At 35.1% G+C, this 20,406-nt stretch overlaps 2 protein-coding genes across 9 annotated transcripts in view; one reads left to right on the top strand and one right to left on the bottom strand.

Annotated features, from left to right (window-relative positions):
- The window catches only part of NADK2 (NAD kinase 2, mitochondrial), a 49,691-nt gene extending 32,682 nt beyond the window's left edge, over positions 1-17,009 (top strand). For 4 of the 8 annotated variants that reach the window (NM_001287341.2, XM_024454360.2, XM_005248241.5 and 1 more), the window contains exons 8-13: positions 908-973; positions 2,333-2,428; positions 8,437-8,492; positions 9,318-9,371; positions 11,934-12,057; positions 14,316-17,009. In NM_001287341.2, coding sequence (NP_001274270.1) covers positions 908-973; positions 2,333-2,428; positions 8,437-8,492; positions 9,318-9,371; positions 11,934-12,057; positions 14,316-14,454 — 535 coding nt within the window. In that variant the 3' untranslated portion in view covers positions 14,455-17,009. The remainder of the gene's footprint in view (positions 1-907; positions 974-2,332; positions 2,429-8,436; positions 8,493-9,317; positions 9,372-11,933; positions 12,058-14,315) is intronic. The other 4 variants (NM_153013.5, XM_047416706.1, NM_001085411.3 and 1 more) reach the window with 1 other exon arrangement.
- The window catches only part of SKP2 (S-phase kinase associated protein 2), a 41,420-nt gene continuing 37,081 nt past the window's right edge, over positions 16,068-20,406 (bottom strand). The window contains exon 10 of the mRNA XM_047417536.1: positions 16,068-16,977. Coding sequence (XP_047273492.1) covers positions 16,899-16,977 — 79 coding nt within the window. The 3' untranslated portion in view covers positions 16,068-16,898. The remainder of the gene's footprint in view (positions 16,978-20,406) is intronic.

Genomic DNA, 20,406 nt, shown 5'->3' with positions numbered 1-20,406 from the left:
CTACTGATACAATCTAGTTATTATTCTAAAGACATAAGATAGAAAAGAGAGGAAGAACTTTAAATGAGATTGGAGAAAGTCTACCTTAAATAAATGCAATGATAAAAATGTTTTGTGAGTTTATGCTTACTTCAGGGAAGCCATTTAATGGCTTATTTTATTCTGTTTGTGTATTTTAAAGGTAACTGCTGAGAGCTAGCTTTGCTTTATAATTTTGTACTTACTAAAAAATTAAATAACTTATAAATGGAGGAAAACTTGGATCAGTTGATAGATTTTGGGGGAGTTAGTGAAATTTCTTGAGGGGATTTTCAATCGAATGCTTTTATTTTCTGTGGCAGTAATGATCTGGTTGGTTTATCTCATAAATAACTGATGCTGCTGCTTTTTGTGTTCTTTGATGTCTCACCTTATGTTTTTACTAAGTAAGGACAGCAATGGATTGGCTTCTGATGCTGTTGAAAATAGTTTAACTACTGCAGGTATTAGAACTCACTTTTAAAGATTTTATGACATAGACCATTAGGCAGAAAGGAAATGGACATTTATTGGATGCCTGCTGTGTGTCAGGCACTGCGTATATTGTGTATGCTATCTCATTTAATGCTCATAGCAAGCCTGTGAGAAAGGTGGTTGTATTTATTAGTGACAAAATTGAGATTTGGAGAGTTCAAATAACTAGCACAAGGTCATATAATTAGCTAGCATCAGAACTGTAACATAAACCCGGTGTTTCTGATTCTAGATCCTGTATTGAGGCTTCACTATGCTCTGAAAACTTAAGTGCCTTGCTTGGAAAATATGAAGTGCAGCAATATTATTCCTGCCTCATTTATAATGTTCTTAGATTTAAGAACATTTTAAAGGCCCAATTTTGTTTTCTTTTCTCCTATTTGTTCTAACCTAGAATGTCTTATTCTTGGGCTGTAGCAGTGGACAATTTAAGAAGAAGTATACCCACTCTAAAGGGACTGTGAGTTTTATTGCTGCCTTAAAAAAATAATTTCCCTGAAACAAAAATTCTATGAACTGACTAATCTTGATAAATCTTGCATGTGAGAATGACACTAAATTTGCTCATTATTTTGGGCTGAGCATCTCTCACCTGACTGTACTTGTCTTTCTCTCTGCCTCTGCTTCTTTTCTACCCATGCCCCCTTACCTCTAATCTCTTTTGTTTCTACTTGATTCTGGCATAGTAGCAGCCACTTCTATGGATTTGGCTGGCTTGTCTGTACATAATAGGCTCCTAATGTGTGTTTTCTAGGAAGACATAACAAAGCTATGAAATAGATTAAATGTGAATATTAGGCCTGCTATCTTTTATTTTTAATAAGAAATTCTGACTATAGAGAAAAAAGTGAAAAGGAGTTGTATTATGCAAAACCCTTACAAATTAAGAGCTTACAGGATAAACTGTAAAGGTTAGAATAAGAGATAAATTATCCATAGTGTTAGTGTTTGCAAGCATGTCCAGTAATTATTTTGAAAAGTTGTATTTTATTACGGTTTTATCGTAACTTTTTTATTTGCTGGAGAAAAAAATTCAGTGTTGATCAGTGACACCATTATTTTAAGATAGAGTTTACAAAATAGGCTTTTAGACATTGCAAAAGTTCTTTGAATAGTTACAAATCATTTATGTGTTCATGGAGTTAAAGAATAGTGCCATTTTTGCTGGTGCCAGAAAACCCATTTGATTTCATATTAATGAAATATTTTAAGAAATGTAAATCCCAAGAAATTTATAGTTCTGGTTTATTTCTAGTTTTGTCCACTAATCCAGTATTGGTTGAGAATTTTCTTTACAGCTTTATTATCTAATCTCTGTTAGCTTACTACCAATTCAAAAGGTACATTAGCATGTAACTTAAGAAACAAGAGTTTAGTAGAAACTATTAATAACTTTAAGAATTAGAATCAGCTTTAAAATATATCAAGGACTAGCTACCAAGAATGAAACTCACTTAAGAATAGTATTTTCTTTTTTTGGATTCAGAAATGAGGCTCTGTATATGTTAGATTCCATAAGAGCAAAAGCACAATGCTAGCTAAAAATTTGCAAGAAGCTCCTATTTGAAATATTAAAGTATTGACAGAAAGGAATATATAAATCAGACAGGCATGCAGACATGTAGTTTTTTTTTTTTTAATTTCTTCTAACTTTTTCACTTAATCAGTATTGGAATTAGCATCATGATGTGTGTGCCTACTAAGTCAAGTATTTCTTGGGTAAGCTGACTTACTTAAGATTTCCTTAGTTCTGAAGAAGACTCTCTTATTTACCTTGAACCATAAGCTCAGCAAACAGTTTTATATTCTCAATTCACAGGGCTTCCTACTATGAGATTTCAGTTGATGATGGTCCATGGGAAAAACAGAAGAGTTCAGGGCTCAATTTGTGTACTGGAACAGGATCAAAGGCCTGGTGAGTAACTTGGGATGTTGCTTATCAAGTTTTGTGAAATACTTTTAGTAATGTAATATTTTGGCCCATCTAAGGCCTGTAATATGCAAGAGGTGTCCTGGTGGTGTTATGTAGGTAGGCCAAGTTTCTGTTTCATTCATCATTTGGGTCTAGTAGTCCTGCCTTGACTTCTTGGATTACAGTTACAGCCTGGATTTGGTCATTATTGAGCACTAGGTTTGCAAAGGAAAGGAAATGAGAAGTGGTTTTGGGACTATCTTTTCTTAAAAATGAAAAATATTTTAAATAACTGTAAGGAAATGAATACAAAGTACAATAAAAAAAGTAGGCTGGAGGTTTGTATATTAAAAGCCTAACTGGAGATAACCTGGTGCATCCCTATGTCCTGTTTACTCTATAATCTCCCTCTGGGTAATCTCGTCTACTTCTTAGTACATTCCACATAAATGCCTCCCAAACATACCTTTTCTCCTGAGTACAAACTCATATTCTAAAATTACATGCCAGATAGGATGTTAGTAGCACTTCAGATTCAACAAATTCAGAACTGAATTTATTGTCTTCAGTTTTTCTTTTTGTGTTCTTTATATTGATGAATACCATCAGCATTTACCCTGACTCCATGCTCTAGAGAAAAAAAGCATTTTTTTTTTCCATTCTTCATTCTCCCCTCTATATATCCCAGTCTCTAAATCCTATTAATTGTACTTCTGAAGTCTTAGTCCACTTTTTTGGGTTTCTACTGCTGCTGCTTTGGTCCAAGCCTGCACCTTTTTAGTGAATATTCTTTGTGCCTCACCTTTTATTCTTCAGGCTGTCATCTGCACTACAACAGAGTAATATTCCTTTTTTTTTTTTAACTTTAAAAAAAATTATTATTATACTTTAAGTTCTAGGGTACATGTGCACAACATGCAGGTTTGTTACATAGGTATACATGTGCCATGTTGGTTTGCTGCATCCATCAACTCCTCATTTACATTAGGTATTTCTCCTAATGCTATCCCTCCCACAGTCTCCCACCCCACAAAAGGCCCCAGTGTGTGATGTTCCCCTCCCTGTGTCCATGTGTTCCGATTGTTCAGCTCCTACTTATGAGTGAGAACATGCGGTGTTTGGTTTTCTGTCCTTGAGATATTTTGCTGAGAATGATGGTTTCCAGCTTCATCCATATCCCTACAAAGGACATGAACTCATTCTTTTTTATGGCTGCATAGTATTCCATGGTATATATGTGCCACATTTTCTTTATCCAGTCTGTTATTGGTGGACAATTGGGTTGGTTCCAAGTCTTTGCTATTGTGAATAGTGCCACAATAAATATACATGTGCATGTGTCTTTATAGTAGTATGATTTATAATCCTTTGGGTATATACCCAGTAATGGGATGGCTGGGTCAAATAGTATTTCTAGTTCTAGATCCTTGAGGAATCGCCACACTGTCTTCCACAATGGTTGCACTAATTTATGCTCCCACCAACAGTGTAAAAGTGTTTGTATTTCTCCACATCCTTTCCAGCATCTACAACAGAGTAATATTTCTAAAATGTAGATAAATCTGTCTCTCTTCTCTGCCTTATAACTTTCATTGACCTCTGTTCAGATTGCTTAATCTGTCATTTGAGGCCCTTTAACATATGACCTTAGCGATCTTATTGGCCTTATTCCTGCCCTACCCTTACCCCCACCTATGGCACACTAGAATTGGCACAGCTACTTGCAATTCTCAGCACACTTTTTGTTCTCGCTTGGCTTTTTATTTTTGCTCAATGCAACTTCTTCCTGCCTTGAATGCCTGAACACTCCACTTTCTATCCACTGTCTGAAAATCCAGTCTTGAAATGTCATTCTCTTTAGCAAATCCTTAACACTCACCTGTTTCATAAAGACAGTGAATTAATCATTTTCATCCTTCCCTAACACTTTTTCTCATAGCACTATTATAGCCGCTATTACATTATTAGTTATCTAATATGCTAGTACCCAGCTAGTTAAAGCAACTTTATGGATTTGGGATGGCGACTAGAGGGGTTTTTTTTTCCTGCTTAATCTTTTTATGCACAGTACCTTATATATATTCACTCAAAAAATATTTTTTGAGTAAATGACTATATGCTCACAATTGTATATAGCTAAAACAATGCTTATCAAACTTTTAAATTTGTATAGTTTAATTTAGAGTTTTATTTCCTACTTGTTTAACATGACTTCTTAAACTATTTTATTATGCAAAATTTTTAATATGTATAAGAGTGACAAAATAGTGTAATGAATCCCCACATACCATTAGCTAGTTTCAGTAATTATCAACACATGCCCAATCTTGTTACCTCTGTACCCCTATCTACTTTTGTCCTATTTATTCTGAAGTTATTTTCAGATATCATATCATTTAATTCATAAGTATTCAATAAAAAAACTTAGCCAAATAGTCTTTTTGAAAAAATAAGAAGTATCATTTAAAAAGATAGGTTAATAACTTATTTTCCTGAGGGCCAGTGAAAGGAACATTTCTAAAATGAATTTTCCAATAATTTTATGAAAAAAACTTAATCCTTTAATATGTTATAAAATTATTTTGTAACCATCTTATAGATTAAATTGAAAACATTACAGTTAACAGCTTTCTGTCATTTATGATGATAGTATTTTTCCTGTTGAACATGCTATGCTACTTGTTGAAAACTAGAGTGAAATTAGAAATAGAAATGGAAATTTCTGTTAGAAATAGAGATTGTATTTACCCAGTATTCTTACCATAAAAAATAGGCAAAGTGGTATAATTGAAAAGAGTACTGGCCTGCAAGTTATGAGACCTGATTAAACCACAGACTAGCTTTACAACTATGTACAAATTCCCTTGCCTGCCAAATGCAGGAATTGGAACTGATAAAATAGTAAGATTACTTTGCCTTCTGAACTTCTGTGATTCTGTATGTTTATTTTTTATGCATTGTAATACAAGCTATCAGTTATATAGCCCCTGCTACTTTGTACTGTGCTAGGTACGTTTATATATTAATTAATCCTTTTAGAAATCCTGGAAGAAAGTAGTAGCATTCCCATTTTATAAAGGAGTAAGTTAAGGGTTAGCAAGGATAAATATTTAGGCCAAAGTTATACAAGAAGTAAGAGTCAGAACCTGGATATAAGCACAGGTGTGCTGGACTGCAAAATCAGTGCCCTTTTCACTGTCATTACTACTTGTGCTGCTTCACAAGGGAAGGTCAATTTTTAAATGGAGAGGGAGAGGGGTTCTGAGGTGTCTATAGAGGTCACATAGTTGAAAGAAAAGTCACTACGTTGTACTGAAGAATTATCAAGATAAATTTGCTAATTAATCCCAGTGAAGTAGTGCTTCTGCTAGAGGCAATGGGGCTTCTGTCTGGGGAGGGGTGTAATTTTGATAGATTTTGATAGTTCAAGTTTTCAGCCTTTCAGAGCATAAGGAATGACAGCCACTACAATGCTTTTAAAGCATTCCTCGCCTCCCACATGCACCCAGTAGTTGAGTCCTGTGTTGATGTTGCATTTCGATAAGTATGGGTTAGATTAAAATCTCAGCCTTCTCTATGTTGCTTGTTAAAGTCTTCTATTATTTCCTGTGCTCTAGTATAAAAGTCTTTCTCACAAGCTATATCCTATCCCTGACACCTTCGTTGCTCAGTCTCTTCTCTACCAAGCCCCATGCAGCTTGCTTGCATCTAACATGTTCTCCCCTCTTCCATTACTGATGATTCTTTTGCTATGATTGCAATTCCCATTCATCTTTTGTCCTTTTTGCTTCAAAAAATGTAGGAAGAGAAGAGAAGCCGAGGAGCCAGAGGGGCTGGGGAAAAGCTGTATATTTCTATACATTAATAATTTTTGTTTTTATCATACTACTATCTCTGAGCACATTTTTTGTTCCAAGCTAATTAGATGATCTTGTTTAAATTCTCACAAATACTCTGGAAGTAGGTGATTTTATTTTCATAAGTAGAATCCAAAAAGTTTCATAAGTTAACTGACTTTCCCAAAGCTATGTGGCTAATAAATGGTGAAGTCGTGATTTAAATTTTAAACCTATCTGTAAACCATAGACCTCTGAAGAATCATTGGAAAGAAAATATTAGGATAGTCTATTTTTCTCTCTTTTAATTCTTGATAGAGAGGGGCTTTTTTTCTTGTATGGAATTCTTTAATTAGTCTTTGCTTTCAATATGAAATGTGGAAATGTATGACTCATGGTAAGCTATTTGTTATAAAAGATAAACCACCAATCTCAGTGGCTTAACACAGTATAAGTCTATTTCTTGTTCTTGTAAAGTCTGCAGTGAGTATTCCTGATTGGCAAGTGGCTTCCTGTAAGTGGTTATTGAAGGAGCCAGAGTTCTTCCATCACGTGGCTCTACCACCTTCTAAACATAGCTCCTCCGGTTGCTGTGCTACAGAAGGTGGAAGAGCATGGAGGGTCCCCATGGGAGGCTCTGAGCCAGGCTTTGAAGTATTGTTTATCATGTCCACTCTGATTCCATTAGCTACAACTCAGTCACATGACTATATGGCATGAAGAGCTAGAAAATATAACCTATGCGTTCAGGAAGAAAAACAGGTTTGGGGAATAGTTATTCTGTCTCTGCATCTCCAAAAATTCTTCCACAGGAGACAGGATATAGGGGTGGTATTACACAGCAAATGTCTCTGAATTGTCCCATTATCCTGTCAGTTCTCTGTTCAGTGGGGAATAAGGTTTACTCCATACACTGGGAGAAATACTACAGAGCCAGATCACCATATGTTTCAATTAGTTTCTTCTTAAGATTATTCTCAGTCCTTTTTCTCCATACATGCTGCCCTACCAGACTTAATTAAGGATGAAGATGTATGTTTAGGAGATGGAGCTTTAGTAGTTGATGAAGATGTGATACTCAGTTTGTCTTCCAGTTTGGTAGTAGAGGTTATGTCTGATTTTAAATGAGAACTCTTAGAATGGTGAAGGTTGTAGACCTAAGAAAAAAATTCTCATGTTTTTGCATTTCTCCAAACATGAAGGGTACAGGGTTAGCAGGTATAAGAGTATCTCTTACTCTCACTCCCCCAAAACGTTAAGAGCCAGTAATTTAGATTTAGAATTGCGTTGACTCATATGTTATTCCTGTTCCTTGGGATTATATATTGAGATCATGTATGAAGAGTTATGAGGCAGTAGAAGAATTCAAAATTACTGGGAATATATTTTTTTAAAAAAACAACCTTTTCTTAGTGATCTTTATAGACCCCGGGACAGAACTATTTTGAAAAGTTATCCATGTTTGTACTAATGCTTGTTTTTTAGTGGTTAAGCAAGGCATTGCACATGTAAAAGATTTCTTACCTTCAAGGAAACTATTTTATAATTTAAAGAATACTTGCCTAGGTTAAAAAGTACAAAAGGGTATACAGCAAAAAGCTAGTCTCCCTTTCATTTCATATCTCTAGTACTTATCTCTAGAGTCATACTATATATATATTTTTTGTTTTTAAAATGAAACAACATATACACTATATGATACCTTTTATTTTTTAACTTAATATTTTGGTTATCCTTACATATCAGCACATATATTTGTATTATTTTTAATATCAATGAGTAGCTATAATTTATTCAGTCAGCTTTCTATGGGTACCTATTTGAGTTGTTTTGCTGTTATAAACAGCATTTCAGCTAATATTTTTGTACCTATCTTTGTGTATTATAGATGGAGGTATATTTTAGGTTAAATTACTAGATTGAAGAATATGTTCATTTTAATTTTGATAGTGCATAATTGCTCTCCAACTGCAATATCTCTGTTCCCATCAATGTATGAAAATACTTGTCTCATCATACCCATACTAGCACATTATTTACCAGTTTTTAACTTTGTTCATTTAGAACTTCCTCCTAATTTCTAAGAATTTTCTATATTTTAAGTAGGTTATTCCTTTTTGATTTTTAGCATGTTTTTAGAATTAAAACTAAGAATTATGTGATTTTTGTTTCTAGGTCATTCAATATTAACAGGGTTGCAACTCAGGCTGTAGAAGATGTTTTAAATATTGGTGAGTACCAAAACAGCTATTGGAGTAGTCCCCTCTTATCCGCAGGGGACAAGTTCCAGAACCCCCAGTGAATGCTGAAACCTTGGATACTACCAAACCCTTATACTATGCATTAATTTCTTTTTCTTTCTTCACAATATCACTGATAGAAGATTCATATATCTGATTGTAAATCTTAGCAACCTCAGCATATGACCTTTTTCTTTGAAAACTTTCACCTGTTCATGTAAAGGAAGCATTTTATGGCTTCTCTTTGGCATATCTGATTTGCCGACATCACTACTTGTGCCTTGGGGCCGTTATTAAGTTAAATAAGGGTGACTTGAACACAAGCACTATGATACCATGACAGTCGATCTAATAACCAAGTCAGCTACTAAGTGACTAATGGGCCAGTAATATGTACAGCATGGATAAGCTGGACAAAAGGATGACTCATATCCCAGGTGGGTTAGAGCAGGACTGCGTGAGATTTTACCATGCTACTCAGAATGATGTGCAATTTGAAACATGAATTGTTGATTTCTATAATTTTCCATGTAATATTTTTGTATCATGGTTGTCTGCCAGTAACTGAAACTGGAAGAAAGCAAAATCATGGAAAGCAAAAGTGCTAATAAGGGCGAGGGGGGGCTACTGTTTATTTATGATAATATGCTATATAATGTATACATGTTGTTTTATATTAGCTATTATGTTACATAATAACATATATATATATAACACATATACACTTTAAGCATTTTTCCCCCTTTTTCAAGGAAAATATATATATAAGATATATATATTTATAACATACATTTTCCCCCTTTCCTTTTTCAACAGCAAAACGACAAGGAAATTTGAGTCTTCCATTGAACAGAGAATTGGTAGAGAAAGGTCAGTGACAAATGATAATAATCACTAACAGTTTAGTTCTGTTTCAGTTTTAAGGATGATAGTGTGAAGTGTTGTTTAATTAGCAAAGTACTTTTTTTTACTCAAACATGCTTTTAATACAATATCCCCTTAAATGTCTTTAAGCAACATAAAGATTAAAGTTGGACTTTTGTTGTGATTTTTAGTCAACCCTGAAATATAACTCTTAAGTCAAAGCAGTATAACTGCAAACATGTCCTGGGGGATAGGGAATTACAGAAAAATCCTTATCTCACAAATAGGAAATGCATAGCTAAATTCAGTAAGCCATTAATATCCTCTGAATGAGATGGAATTCACTGAGCTATGAGTGCTTATCTTCTTATTCACTCAAATATTCTTTTTAACATTCTTCTCCCTAGTTTTGCCTGATTACCTCACGATTCCTGTAAGAGAATTAGTGCTGTTAGAGAAAGAATACTTATGAAGAAATCTGAAATCGTAGGTTCCATTTCCAGATCTACTACATCAGCTGTGAAACTTGGGCAAGGCTGTGATCCTCTACAGTTGTAAAAAGAGGGGGTTAAAGTAGATCATCTAGCTGGTGTTTGTAGAAGTTCTTCAAATGTATTCTTTAAATTCTGTTTAAAACAATTTAAATTTTTAAACTGAAAAACACATTCATTTGATTTGCGTATCAGATTGTAACACACTGAAGTCTACTATCTACCAGGATCATTCTTGTACACACCTCAAAGTAAAGCTTTTTTTGCTCTCTGCATTGAAGGATATCCTAAAATTTCAAGCTAGATTGTTTTTTATAAAACTCCAAACCCAAATGTGTTTAAAGTTACATCTACCAACCTATGTATTTTCTCAACATATATGACAAAAAATATATAGACACCAAGTGAATATTGACACATGTAAGACTGCAACTGTCATCCATAAACACAAATGCTTGGATTTATCAGAACGGCCTCATTCTCATTGGTTACCTTAACATGAGTTAGCAATATCTTTTTCTTTTTTTTAATTTTATTATTATTATACTTTAAGTTTTAGGGTACATGTGCACAACGTGCAGGTTTGTTACATATGTATACATGTGCCATGTTGGTGTGCTGCACCCATTAACTCGTCATTTAGCATTAGGTATATCTCCTAATGCTATTCCTCCCCCCACCCCCTACCCCACAACAGTCCCCAGTGTGTAATGTTCCCCTTCCTGTGTCCATGTGTTCTCATTGTTCAGTTCCCACCTATGAGTGAGAACATAACCTGATACAATATTTGAACAGTGTCAGTTTATCTTTATTGTTAGGTTTCCACATAAGACCTCCTTTGTTGGGGGGACAGTTTGCCTCTAAAATAGTTTGAAAAAAGAAGCAAATCTCTCAAGCCCCGTTCAGCCTTCTAAAATGGATTCTGGTCTCCTTCACTCAATTTGAGACCTACAAGATTATTTTAATCATGGTTCATGAATTAGCACCAGCAGTAAATCTGTATCAAAGGAAAGTTAGGTATATATAGTAATTGCTTCTTAATTATATAATTCAACTTAAAAAATAATATATATAAAATAACTGAAATTTATATCAGGTATATATATAAATTAAGGATGTATATATATATTAATTTATATTATATCTATATATATATAAAAATATCTGTGACTTTCTTCTTTTAGTAAACATACCAAAGCTTTACTTTAATGAATGGCATTCCTTTCAAGATTTGACTATCTTCAGAAGCAACAGTGAATGCCAGTGATGCAATCACTGTTACAGACATTTATGAAATTACTCTTGAAATTTCCTTCAGAGCTAGCATGCTTTTTTGTGGTGTGTTCTCATGAAGCCAAATTTTATTTTTGTGGGTGAATTAGATTTTTTTTAAAGTCAGTAATTCAAATGAAACTTTTATAAATAAGGTAGATTATCTGACAGTCTTTTAATTTTTTTAATGTAGTACTCAACTAAACTTTCAAGCCTGATATCTTTGTAGTTTTCTCAACCAATTTGTGCTTTGTATTCCAGCCCTCCTGTACCTCTTGATTAGAGAGAAAGCAGGTCCCAAAGATTTCTAGAAAATATGTTGAGTAATGGGGGTGTATTGGAGAAAGGATATTGCCTGTCATTGTTTGAGACTGCATTTTATATCAAGCTGTTTGCTTATTATCATCGTTATGAGCTCTTTGACATGGTATTTTGGAAAGAACTTGGTAGGGCCATATGGCAACTCAAGTTCCTTTTTTGAGTGCATCTATCTAATTCCTCTATTGTTTAATTACAAGTTTTGAAGCTAGTGTTTTTTATTTTTTTCTTTTTCCCCAGTTGTACCTATTCCTACTGTATTGTGGGTGATGTATGTTTCTGTGGGCAAATCATGGTACCTAATTCTTATTTATAAGGTTTTTTGTTACTGTGTTTTAATGGAATATGTGTTACGAGTTTCAAGAAACTTGTTCCCAAATATACTTTTGGAACAGAATTTAAATGGGGGATGGCATCTATTTTTTGTTTTGCCCTTCTCAGAAGTGACCATCTTTTATTGAGTGTGCTAATTTTTTTTTCTTTGTAGTAACAAATGAATATAATGAATCACTGCTCTACAGTCCGGAAGAACCAAAAATACTTTTCAGTATTCGAGAACCAATAGCAAATAGAGTTTTCTCAAGCAGTCGTCAGCGTTGTTTCTCCTCAAAGTAAGCATCCTCAATCTGACTTCTGACTGTTTTCATCCCTTTCATTGTTACAAAGCCCACTTGGTTTGAAAACTATTTAATTTCATTAAATTTGCTCATTCAAACTTAATCTAGCAGGAAAAGTAGAACCTGTGAAAGTAACAAGGTATCATGCTAACCCGGCTAAAATCATATTTTCTTTTACACTCATTGTGCCATTTTAGAGAAGCTAAAACTTAAGTGACTAGAAAGGGTACAGTTATTTATTTCAGTGATTTGTTGGTTTTTAAAAAATGAACGAAGACACAATAATTGTAAAAGAAGCTGAATAGAAAGCCCCTTCTTTTTCATAAGCTGTAGAATAAAAACACAATAAACACTGATAGAAAACTTAGATTGCATAGCAATAAACCTTTAGAATAGTATTCATTTCTTCTAGGTTTTCCCTAAAAGTGACCTCCTGCCTATTGAATTTGCTTCATTTTATTTTTGGGGAGAGAGGATATAAAAAAGTGGATGTAATTTCTTATTTTGTAAAGGTTCCCCAATTTTCCAAATTAACAAGAAAATCTAAAATTCGGAGAAAATGTCATCTATCTCATGGCAAGCAGAAAACAGCTTAAGCAATTAACAAATTGCTGACCTTAGTGTACATATTTTCTTTTTATAGACATACAATTAATTTTTTCCCCAGGTTAGACACAAATAAGGAAATTTATCTTAACATTCATGTTGTCATTTGAGAGTTAATTTGATTAATCCACAGATGTGTACTCAGTTTGGGTGAGACGACAAAGACTCCTTCAAAGATATATACTACTTATATTTAAGTTTTTGCTAATAGGAGAATAGCTTTGTGATTTTGACATGGAAAAGATTTCTTAAACATGTCATAAAAAGCACTATAACAACAAAAGATTGACAAATTGAACTACACTGGAAGTAAGAACTGCCAGTAATCCAAAGATACCATTAAGAAAACAAAAAGGCAGAGCGAGAAAGATATTTTCAGGACCTATATCCAGCAATGGGCTCATAGCCAGAATATTTAGTATATAAAAGTTCCTACTGACAGTAAGAAAAAGGCAGGCAACATGACAGAAAAATGGCCAAAGTCAGGCATTTCACAAAAGGTGATATTCACATGGCTAATAAACACAAAAAACATGATTGACCTTATTATTCATCTGGGAAATGCTAATTAAAACTACATAATACGCTACCATATACACCCACCAGAATGGCTAAAGTACCAATTGTTGGCAAGGAGGAACAACTACAACTTTCTATATATTCCTAAATTTCTGTTAGGAATATATAGCTTGGAAAATTGTTTGGCAATTACCTAGCAAACCTGCACATAGCATACACGGTGATCCAATAATTCCCCTTTGAAGTATACATCCAAAAGAAATGTAAGCACCAACAGAAATATGTGCGCAAAGACATTCAAGAATATTCATAGCAGCTCTACTCCCAATAGCCAAAAACCCAAATGTCCATGAATAGTAGAAGAGAGATATAAATTTTGGTGTTTTCATATAACAGAAGTGATTTCATACAGCATTAAAAATGAACACACTACTATTACTATTACATGTACTAATATGGCTGAATTTCACAAACATACTTTTGAGGAAAAGACAGGCACCACTGTGCATATTATATTCTTCCATTTATATAAAGCTCAAGAACAGACAAAGCTATTACTACTGCAGTGATAGAAATTAGGAAGGTGCGTATGCTTGAGGAGGGAGCAGGGATAGTGACTGGGAGAAGGCAGTGAGGGAGCTTCCAGCAAGCTGGGTAAGAGTTGATTCCTGAGTTGGGTGATCATAAGTGTGTTCACTGAACTGTACATTAATAATTTGGGTGTATACCTGTATACATAATTACATGTACCCAACTCTTCTGTATATGTGTTATACTTAAGTAAAAATTTTAAGTACAAATTTTACATGAAAATAGTTAACACTCTTATTCAATACTTAATATTTGTAATGTTAGTAATTCAGCATTTAATCATATGAAAACAGCCTGTGAGTTCAGTCAGGTCTGCACTTCTTTACTGCTAAATGCTTGAGCGAATGGTGCCATCCTGAACGTTTTGAGACCTTCATAATATACCCATATATTTACATAGTGACTAATTTTCTCATACCAGAGAACAACTTGATTTTTAAAATGGAGGCCAAATGATCTGCTAGGTTAAAATTCAGGATTAAAATAACCTATTAAGAAAACTATTACTATTTAATGAGATATTTCCTTCTGCCTAGGGTTTGTGTTCGTTCTCGTTGTTGGGATGCCTGTATGGTTGTGGATGGAGGAACTTCTTTTGAGTTTAATGATGGTGCAATTGCTTCGATGATGATCAATAAAGAAGATGAGCTTCGAACTGTGCTTCTTGAACAGTGAAGGATTTCCTCATGACAAATTTTGATTACTGGCGAGAATATTTTTACTTCAGAAACAGACTACCAGTCGTAAAGTGACATTTTTTGGTTATTGTTGAGACTGCTTGCCCGTGGGCTCAGAAGTGAGATTTGCATTATTCTTCTGTTGGATTCTGATAGAAAAAAAGACATTCACTGTATAAGAAAATGGATGGACTGAACCAATTAGAATTGATACCAGTGAAATTTTTATATTGCTTACAATTGGTAACCAAGAGTGCTGATACCTTTTTAAATTTAGAGGGGCAGGCTTAAATAAAGGACTAAATATTTAGGATTTGAAACTTAACTGTATAAGTGTGTTTTCCTTCCCTTTCCTCCTAATTGTGGGATTGTCAGAACTGAACACATATCATTTGATTAGTGCATATTTTTTATAGTACCTGAAAACCAAGATTTTGAAAAAATTTTCAAGACAGAGAATTTTGATAAATCCTGACATTGACCTAATTGACATAGGTAAATATGTTTGTATATGTGCTAATAATTTTCTAATTTCGGAACACGATGATGTTATGACTATTGATTTAAAAATTTCAAATAATAATTTTTGAAATTATAGATGAATGCTTTCATTTGAGTTTCATTCTGTAATTCAGCAGTTCTGGGTGAAATACAGATAGCAAAACAAATCATGATGCTGTTACAAATGTATTAGTTATCCAATAAGTGTTTTAAGTCAATTTTTTTAAAATGATATGAGTCTTACAGGTTTCTTCCATCTTTAAAATGCTCAAACATGGATTCAGGGACTAAAAGGATGAACTGATTAGACATTTTCTATTAGGAGTTTGGTAAAATATTGTAAAAATATCTTCACCTGTGTTAGGAGTATTATCAGAAAGAATGGATTCTTTAATAAATATGTAAAACACAGTAGTTTTGGAATTGCCTTCCTTAGTATTGTGGTTTTCACCTAGCTTATATTCCAAGATTTACAGAATAGCTTTTAGGATAAGATGTTAGGACTTTTTTTTTTTCCCCATGAGAATTCCTTTATTTTTGGAGGAAATTATTATCTAATTATTGATCTACTTATAAGTAATCCTAGAATTTTTGCCAAAAGATCCTGTCGTTGCATAATCAAACAGTTGGTATTCTCGTGCCGTTGTTCAAAGTCATGTGTTTCTTTCATTTGGTGCTGAAAATTTCTGTTCAATCATTGACAAATATTTATTGAACACCCACTCTGTGCCATGTAAAACTATGTCAGGTGCTGGATATGTTGATGAATGAAACAGACTCTATCCTTATACAATTTGAGTCTTGTGGGCTCAGAAGTAAATTCTGTGAAAGCTGGACGGATAGTCGAATTGAGTGCTCTTAGTTTTGCCAATATTTAACATGTTGTTCTTATCAATTTTTTAAAATAAATGTTAATGTACAAAGTTAATCTAGGTTTTGATGTATATCCAGAGAATCAATTTTTCTTAAAGTATCTGCGTAGACATTCATAGCAAAGAATTTATGACATATCAGATAGAAATACATTAAAATGTAGTGTTTTCCCAGAGATTGATCTGGCTTTTTTTTTTTGATATACATAAGATACCACTTTATAAAGAAGCTCCATACTATAGAACCTCCCCTAACAGGCTTAAAATACCTTCTTTTTTTTTTTTTTTTTTTTTGAGAACGGAGTCTTGCTTTGTCACCCAGGCTGGACTGCAGTGGCATGATCTCGGCTCTGCAACCTCCATCTCCCAGGTTCAAGCGATTCTCCTGCCTCAGCCTCCCAAGTAGCTGGGATTACAGGCAGGCACCACTATGCCTGGCTAATTTTTTGTATTTTTAGTAGATATGGGGATTCACCATGTTGGTCAGGCTGGTCTCGAACTCCTGACCTTGTGATCTGCCTGCCTCGGCCTCCCAGTATTGGGATTACAGGCATGAGCCACCATGCCCGGCCTTAAAATGCCTTCTTAAAGGAAAAATGCCAACTCCATCCTTAATCTCAAGGAAATCTGATTGTCCAAATAGATCTGTTAATATGTAACATATTAATAGGTAACTTGCTGTGTAAAATTATAAGCCATATTTTAAAAGGTTTTAAAAATACTTATTGTGCTCCATTTGTGATATAATTTCTAACATTTCTGCTCTGTGATGGGGGTTTATTTGTAAGAATAAGAGGCAAAGGAATGTTAGCATAGCAAAAATGTGTTTGAATGAGTTAACCTTTTAATCGCAACCCTATGTGAATAAAATTACTCCACTGTTACCTCTTCTTTTTAACATTTCTTATTTCCCTCTCAAGGGGTCATTATTTGAAAACTAGTTTTCACAAAATGTTATGTTTCAGAAGTGTTTCCCCACTGCTGTGTATTATTATTCTGTGCCCTGTTGACTTCATTCACTGTTAACATTTGACATAGAATGATTAGTTATTAAATCAGGGTGAAGTGCTTACCTGGTCAGTGTAGGCTCTTCAGATAATTTTGACTTAATATTTTTGATACTCCTTGTGCATTTACATTCATGGCCCCTGTACATTAAATCATATTACATGTTTTACTACATTGATTTCACTTTTTAATAAGCAGAAAGAGAGCCAGGTAACACATTTTTATTGTAAAATATCCACTTGAGTTGAAAAAGTTGTCAAATACAAGTTTAAGGATACGTTATATATTTTGCTTAGTTGTGAAAATAATGTACATTTAGAATTTAAATCACTTAAATTCATTCCATTGTACCAATATTATTTATGCATCCTTATACTTAAGAATAGCATCTACTAAGACAATTATGCAGAAAAGATCCCAGGGATAATGCAACACCTAAATATAATGGTGGGGGAGATAAGAGTAAATGTACTAATGAGTTGTCTAACTAAAGAATAGTTCAATTTTATTTTTTCAAAGGCATTTTATTCTTGACTTTAACATTAAAAGTACTCAAGGGATTGGGGCATAAGTCAGTGAGAAGGCTTATTAAGTTTTCTACATTAAGGTATGAAGAGTTTTTAAGTCTTACGGGCTTTAAGACTTTTTTTAAAGAAAATCACTGACTACATGAGCTAAAAGTAGAAAAGCATATTTTAAGTGTTAATCTGAATACCTTAAATATAGTGATTTTAATGCTCAAAATTACAATTTAGATATTCTGGTATTTAGAGAAATGTAAAAATACCGGCATTTTAGTATTTAGATTTGCTAAAACATAGTAACTCAAAGCAGTTACGTTTTGAGTTATCCATAATATTAGTATAGGCTTTTAGGGCTTTGACTTGTATCTTGAAGGGTTAGTCTCTTGGTGAAGAAAACTTTGATTTTCTGGGATATTTGGCTAGGTGGGGAGGAATAGTAAAGAAAGAGGAGGTTGTCATCTTGCTTGTTCCATGGTTAGGGTATGCAGTGACAAGAGGTTTCTTTCTAGTTTGCCCAGTCTCTAGACTACTTGCCTTTGTTTCCTCATAGGCTCTGCATCTTCTCCTGGGCTGTTGTATCCTGCACATTGTGGATGGTCAATAAATGTTGAAGTGTAATTGGGTTCACCAGGATAGGACACAAGCGCTTTATCCAGAAATAAAGTTTTGCACTTGGCCAGTGTCCCTCATGTCTCTGGAGCTTGTGGATAGGGTCTATTAGGAATCAAGAGCCCAAGAGCAGGTAAAGTGACAGCAGTGAAAATGAAACAGACAGGTATGTATCTGAATAGAAGAACAGGATATTACTTATCAAGTGTCTCCTGGCTAAAAAAAAAAAAAAAAAGAACTTGATGATACAAGCCTCTGGAGCACTGACACTATTGACATTTTGTCCAGACAATTCTTTGTTGTAGGGGGCTTTCCTGTTTTCGGATGGTTAGCAGCATCCTTAGCCTCTATTGCCTGTATGCCAATAGCACTTCTCTTGTGACCATCAAAAATGTCTTCAGATGTTACCAAGTATCTCCTGGGTGGGGGAAAATCACCCCTGGTCTAGAGCTTTTTGTTGCTAGATCTAACCACCAGTTTATGGGAATAGGGGAAAGATTAACCTATTACTCCAGGGATAGACGCAAAATCCAGAATGTAGAACACAGGACAGATAACATAGTTTCTTCAATAAATAAATTACAAGGAAAGAAAGGAAGAAACCCTAAATTTAAGATTTAGAGAATTTAAATCAAATGCAGTATGTACACCATGTTTGGATCCTGAGCAAAATAAACCCATTGAAGAAAACACGAGACAACTGAGGAATTGTCAACACCATCTTGATATACAATGCTTCAGGATTCACGCAGGAAAATCCCTAACTTTTAGAGGTATATACCAAAATAGTTATGATATTATGGGTCTGGGTTTTGCTTCAAAATTATCTGTATTGGAGGGGAATGGTTGAGATCATGGATTCAGTGAGATTGGCCAGGAATCAATGACTGTTGAAACTGGAAGATGGGGTCCATCATATTCTTTTTTTTTTTTTTTTTTTTTTTGCATATGTTTGACGTTTTTCATCATTTAAAAAAAGGCATAGTGGTGATAGGACCAGCACAATTGGGTGATATTCAAGAATCACCATTCTACCATTCGAATGGAAGGGTCCAAAAGGAACAGAATTCCTGGAAGGCCTCTGGGCATACAGTGAACATTCAAATAGTTTCTGAATGACAATAAAACACATAGTATAACCTGATCAAATATATTTTTAAAATGCTGCTGACTTTTATTGATAATACTCCTTTGTCACTTGAATTCAAATGTTTTGTAAATATATTACTACTGGAAGCACTTTAAAGATAACAAGCCTGGTGAGGTGGTTCCAAGATGGCCGAATAGGAACAGCTCCAGTCTACAGCTCCCAGTGTGAGCGACGCAGAATACGGGTGATTTCTGCATTTCCAACTGGGGTACCGGGTTCGTCTCACTGGGGGTGTCGGACAGTGGGTGCAGGACAGTGGGTGCAGCACACCGAGCATGAGCTGAAGCAGGGTGAGGCATCGCCTCACCTGGGAAGTGAAAGGGGTCAGGGAATTCCCTTTCCTAGCCAAGGGAAGCTGTGAGAGATGGCACCTGGAAAATCGGGTCACTCCCACCCTAATACTGTGCTTTTCCAATGGTCTTAACAAACGGCACACCAGGAGATTATATCCCGCGCCTGGCTCAGAGGGTCCCATGCCCATGGAGCCTCGCTCACTGCTAGCACAGCAGTCTGAGATCGAACTGCAAGGCAGCAGCGAGGCTAGGGGAGGGGTGCCTGCCATTGCTGAGGCTTGGGTAGGTAAACAAAGCAGCCAGGAAGCTCGAACTGGGTGGAGCCCACTGCAGCTCAAGGAGGCATGCCTGCCTCTGTAGACTCCACCTCTGGGGGCAGGGCATAGCCAAACAAAAGGCAGCAGAAACCTCTGCAGACTTAAATGTCCCTGTCTGACAGCTTTGAAGAGAGTAGTGGTTCTCCCAGCACAGAGTTTGAGATCTGAGAATGGACAGAATGCCTTCTCAAGTGGGTCCCTGACCCCCGAGCAGCCTAACTGGGAGGCACATCCCAGTAGGGGCAGACTGACACCTCACACGGCCAGGAACCCCTCTGAGATGAAACTTCCAGAGGAACGGTCAGTCAGCAACATTTGCTGTTCAGCAATATTCGCTGTTCTGCAGCCTCCGCTGCTGATACCCAGGCAAACAGCGTCTGGAGTGGACCTCCAGCAAACTCCAACAGACGTGCAGCTGAGGGTCCTGACTGTTAGAAGGAACACTAACAGAAAGGACATCCACACCAAAAACCCATCTGTACGTCACCATCATCAAAGATCAAAGGTAGATAAAACCACAAAGATAGGGAAAAAACAGAGCAGAAAAGCTGAAAATTCTAAAAATCAGAGCACCTCTCCCCCTCCAAAGGAACAAAGCTCCTCGCCAGCAATGGACAAAGCTGGATGGAGAAAGACTTTGACGAGTTGAGAGAAGAAGGCTTCAGATGATCAAACT

Source organism: Homo sapiens, chromosome 5 (genome assembly GCF_000001405.40).
Source record: "Homo sapiens chromosome 5, GRCh38.p14 Primary Assembly".
Taxonomy (NCBI): Eukaryota; Metazoa; Chordata; class Mammalia; order Primates; family Hominidae; genus Homo; species Homo sapiens.
Note: the sequence above shows the minus strand (reverse complement) of the source record. Positions and strands in the feature narration are given on the sequence as shown.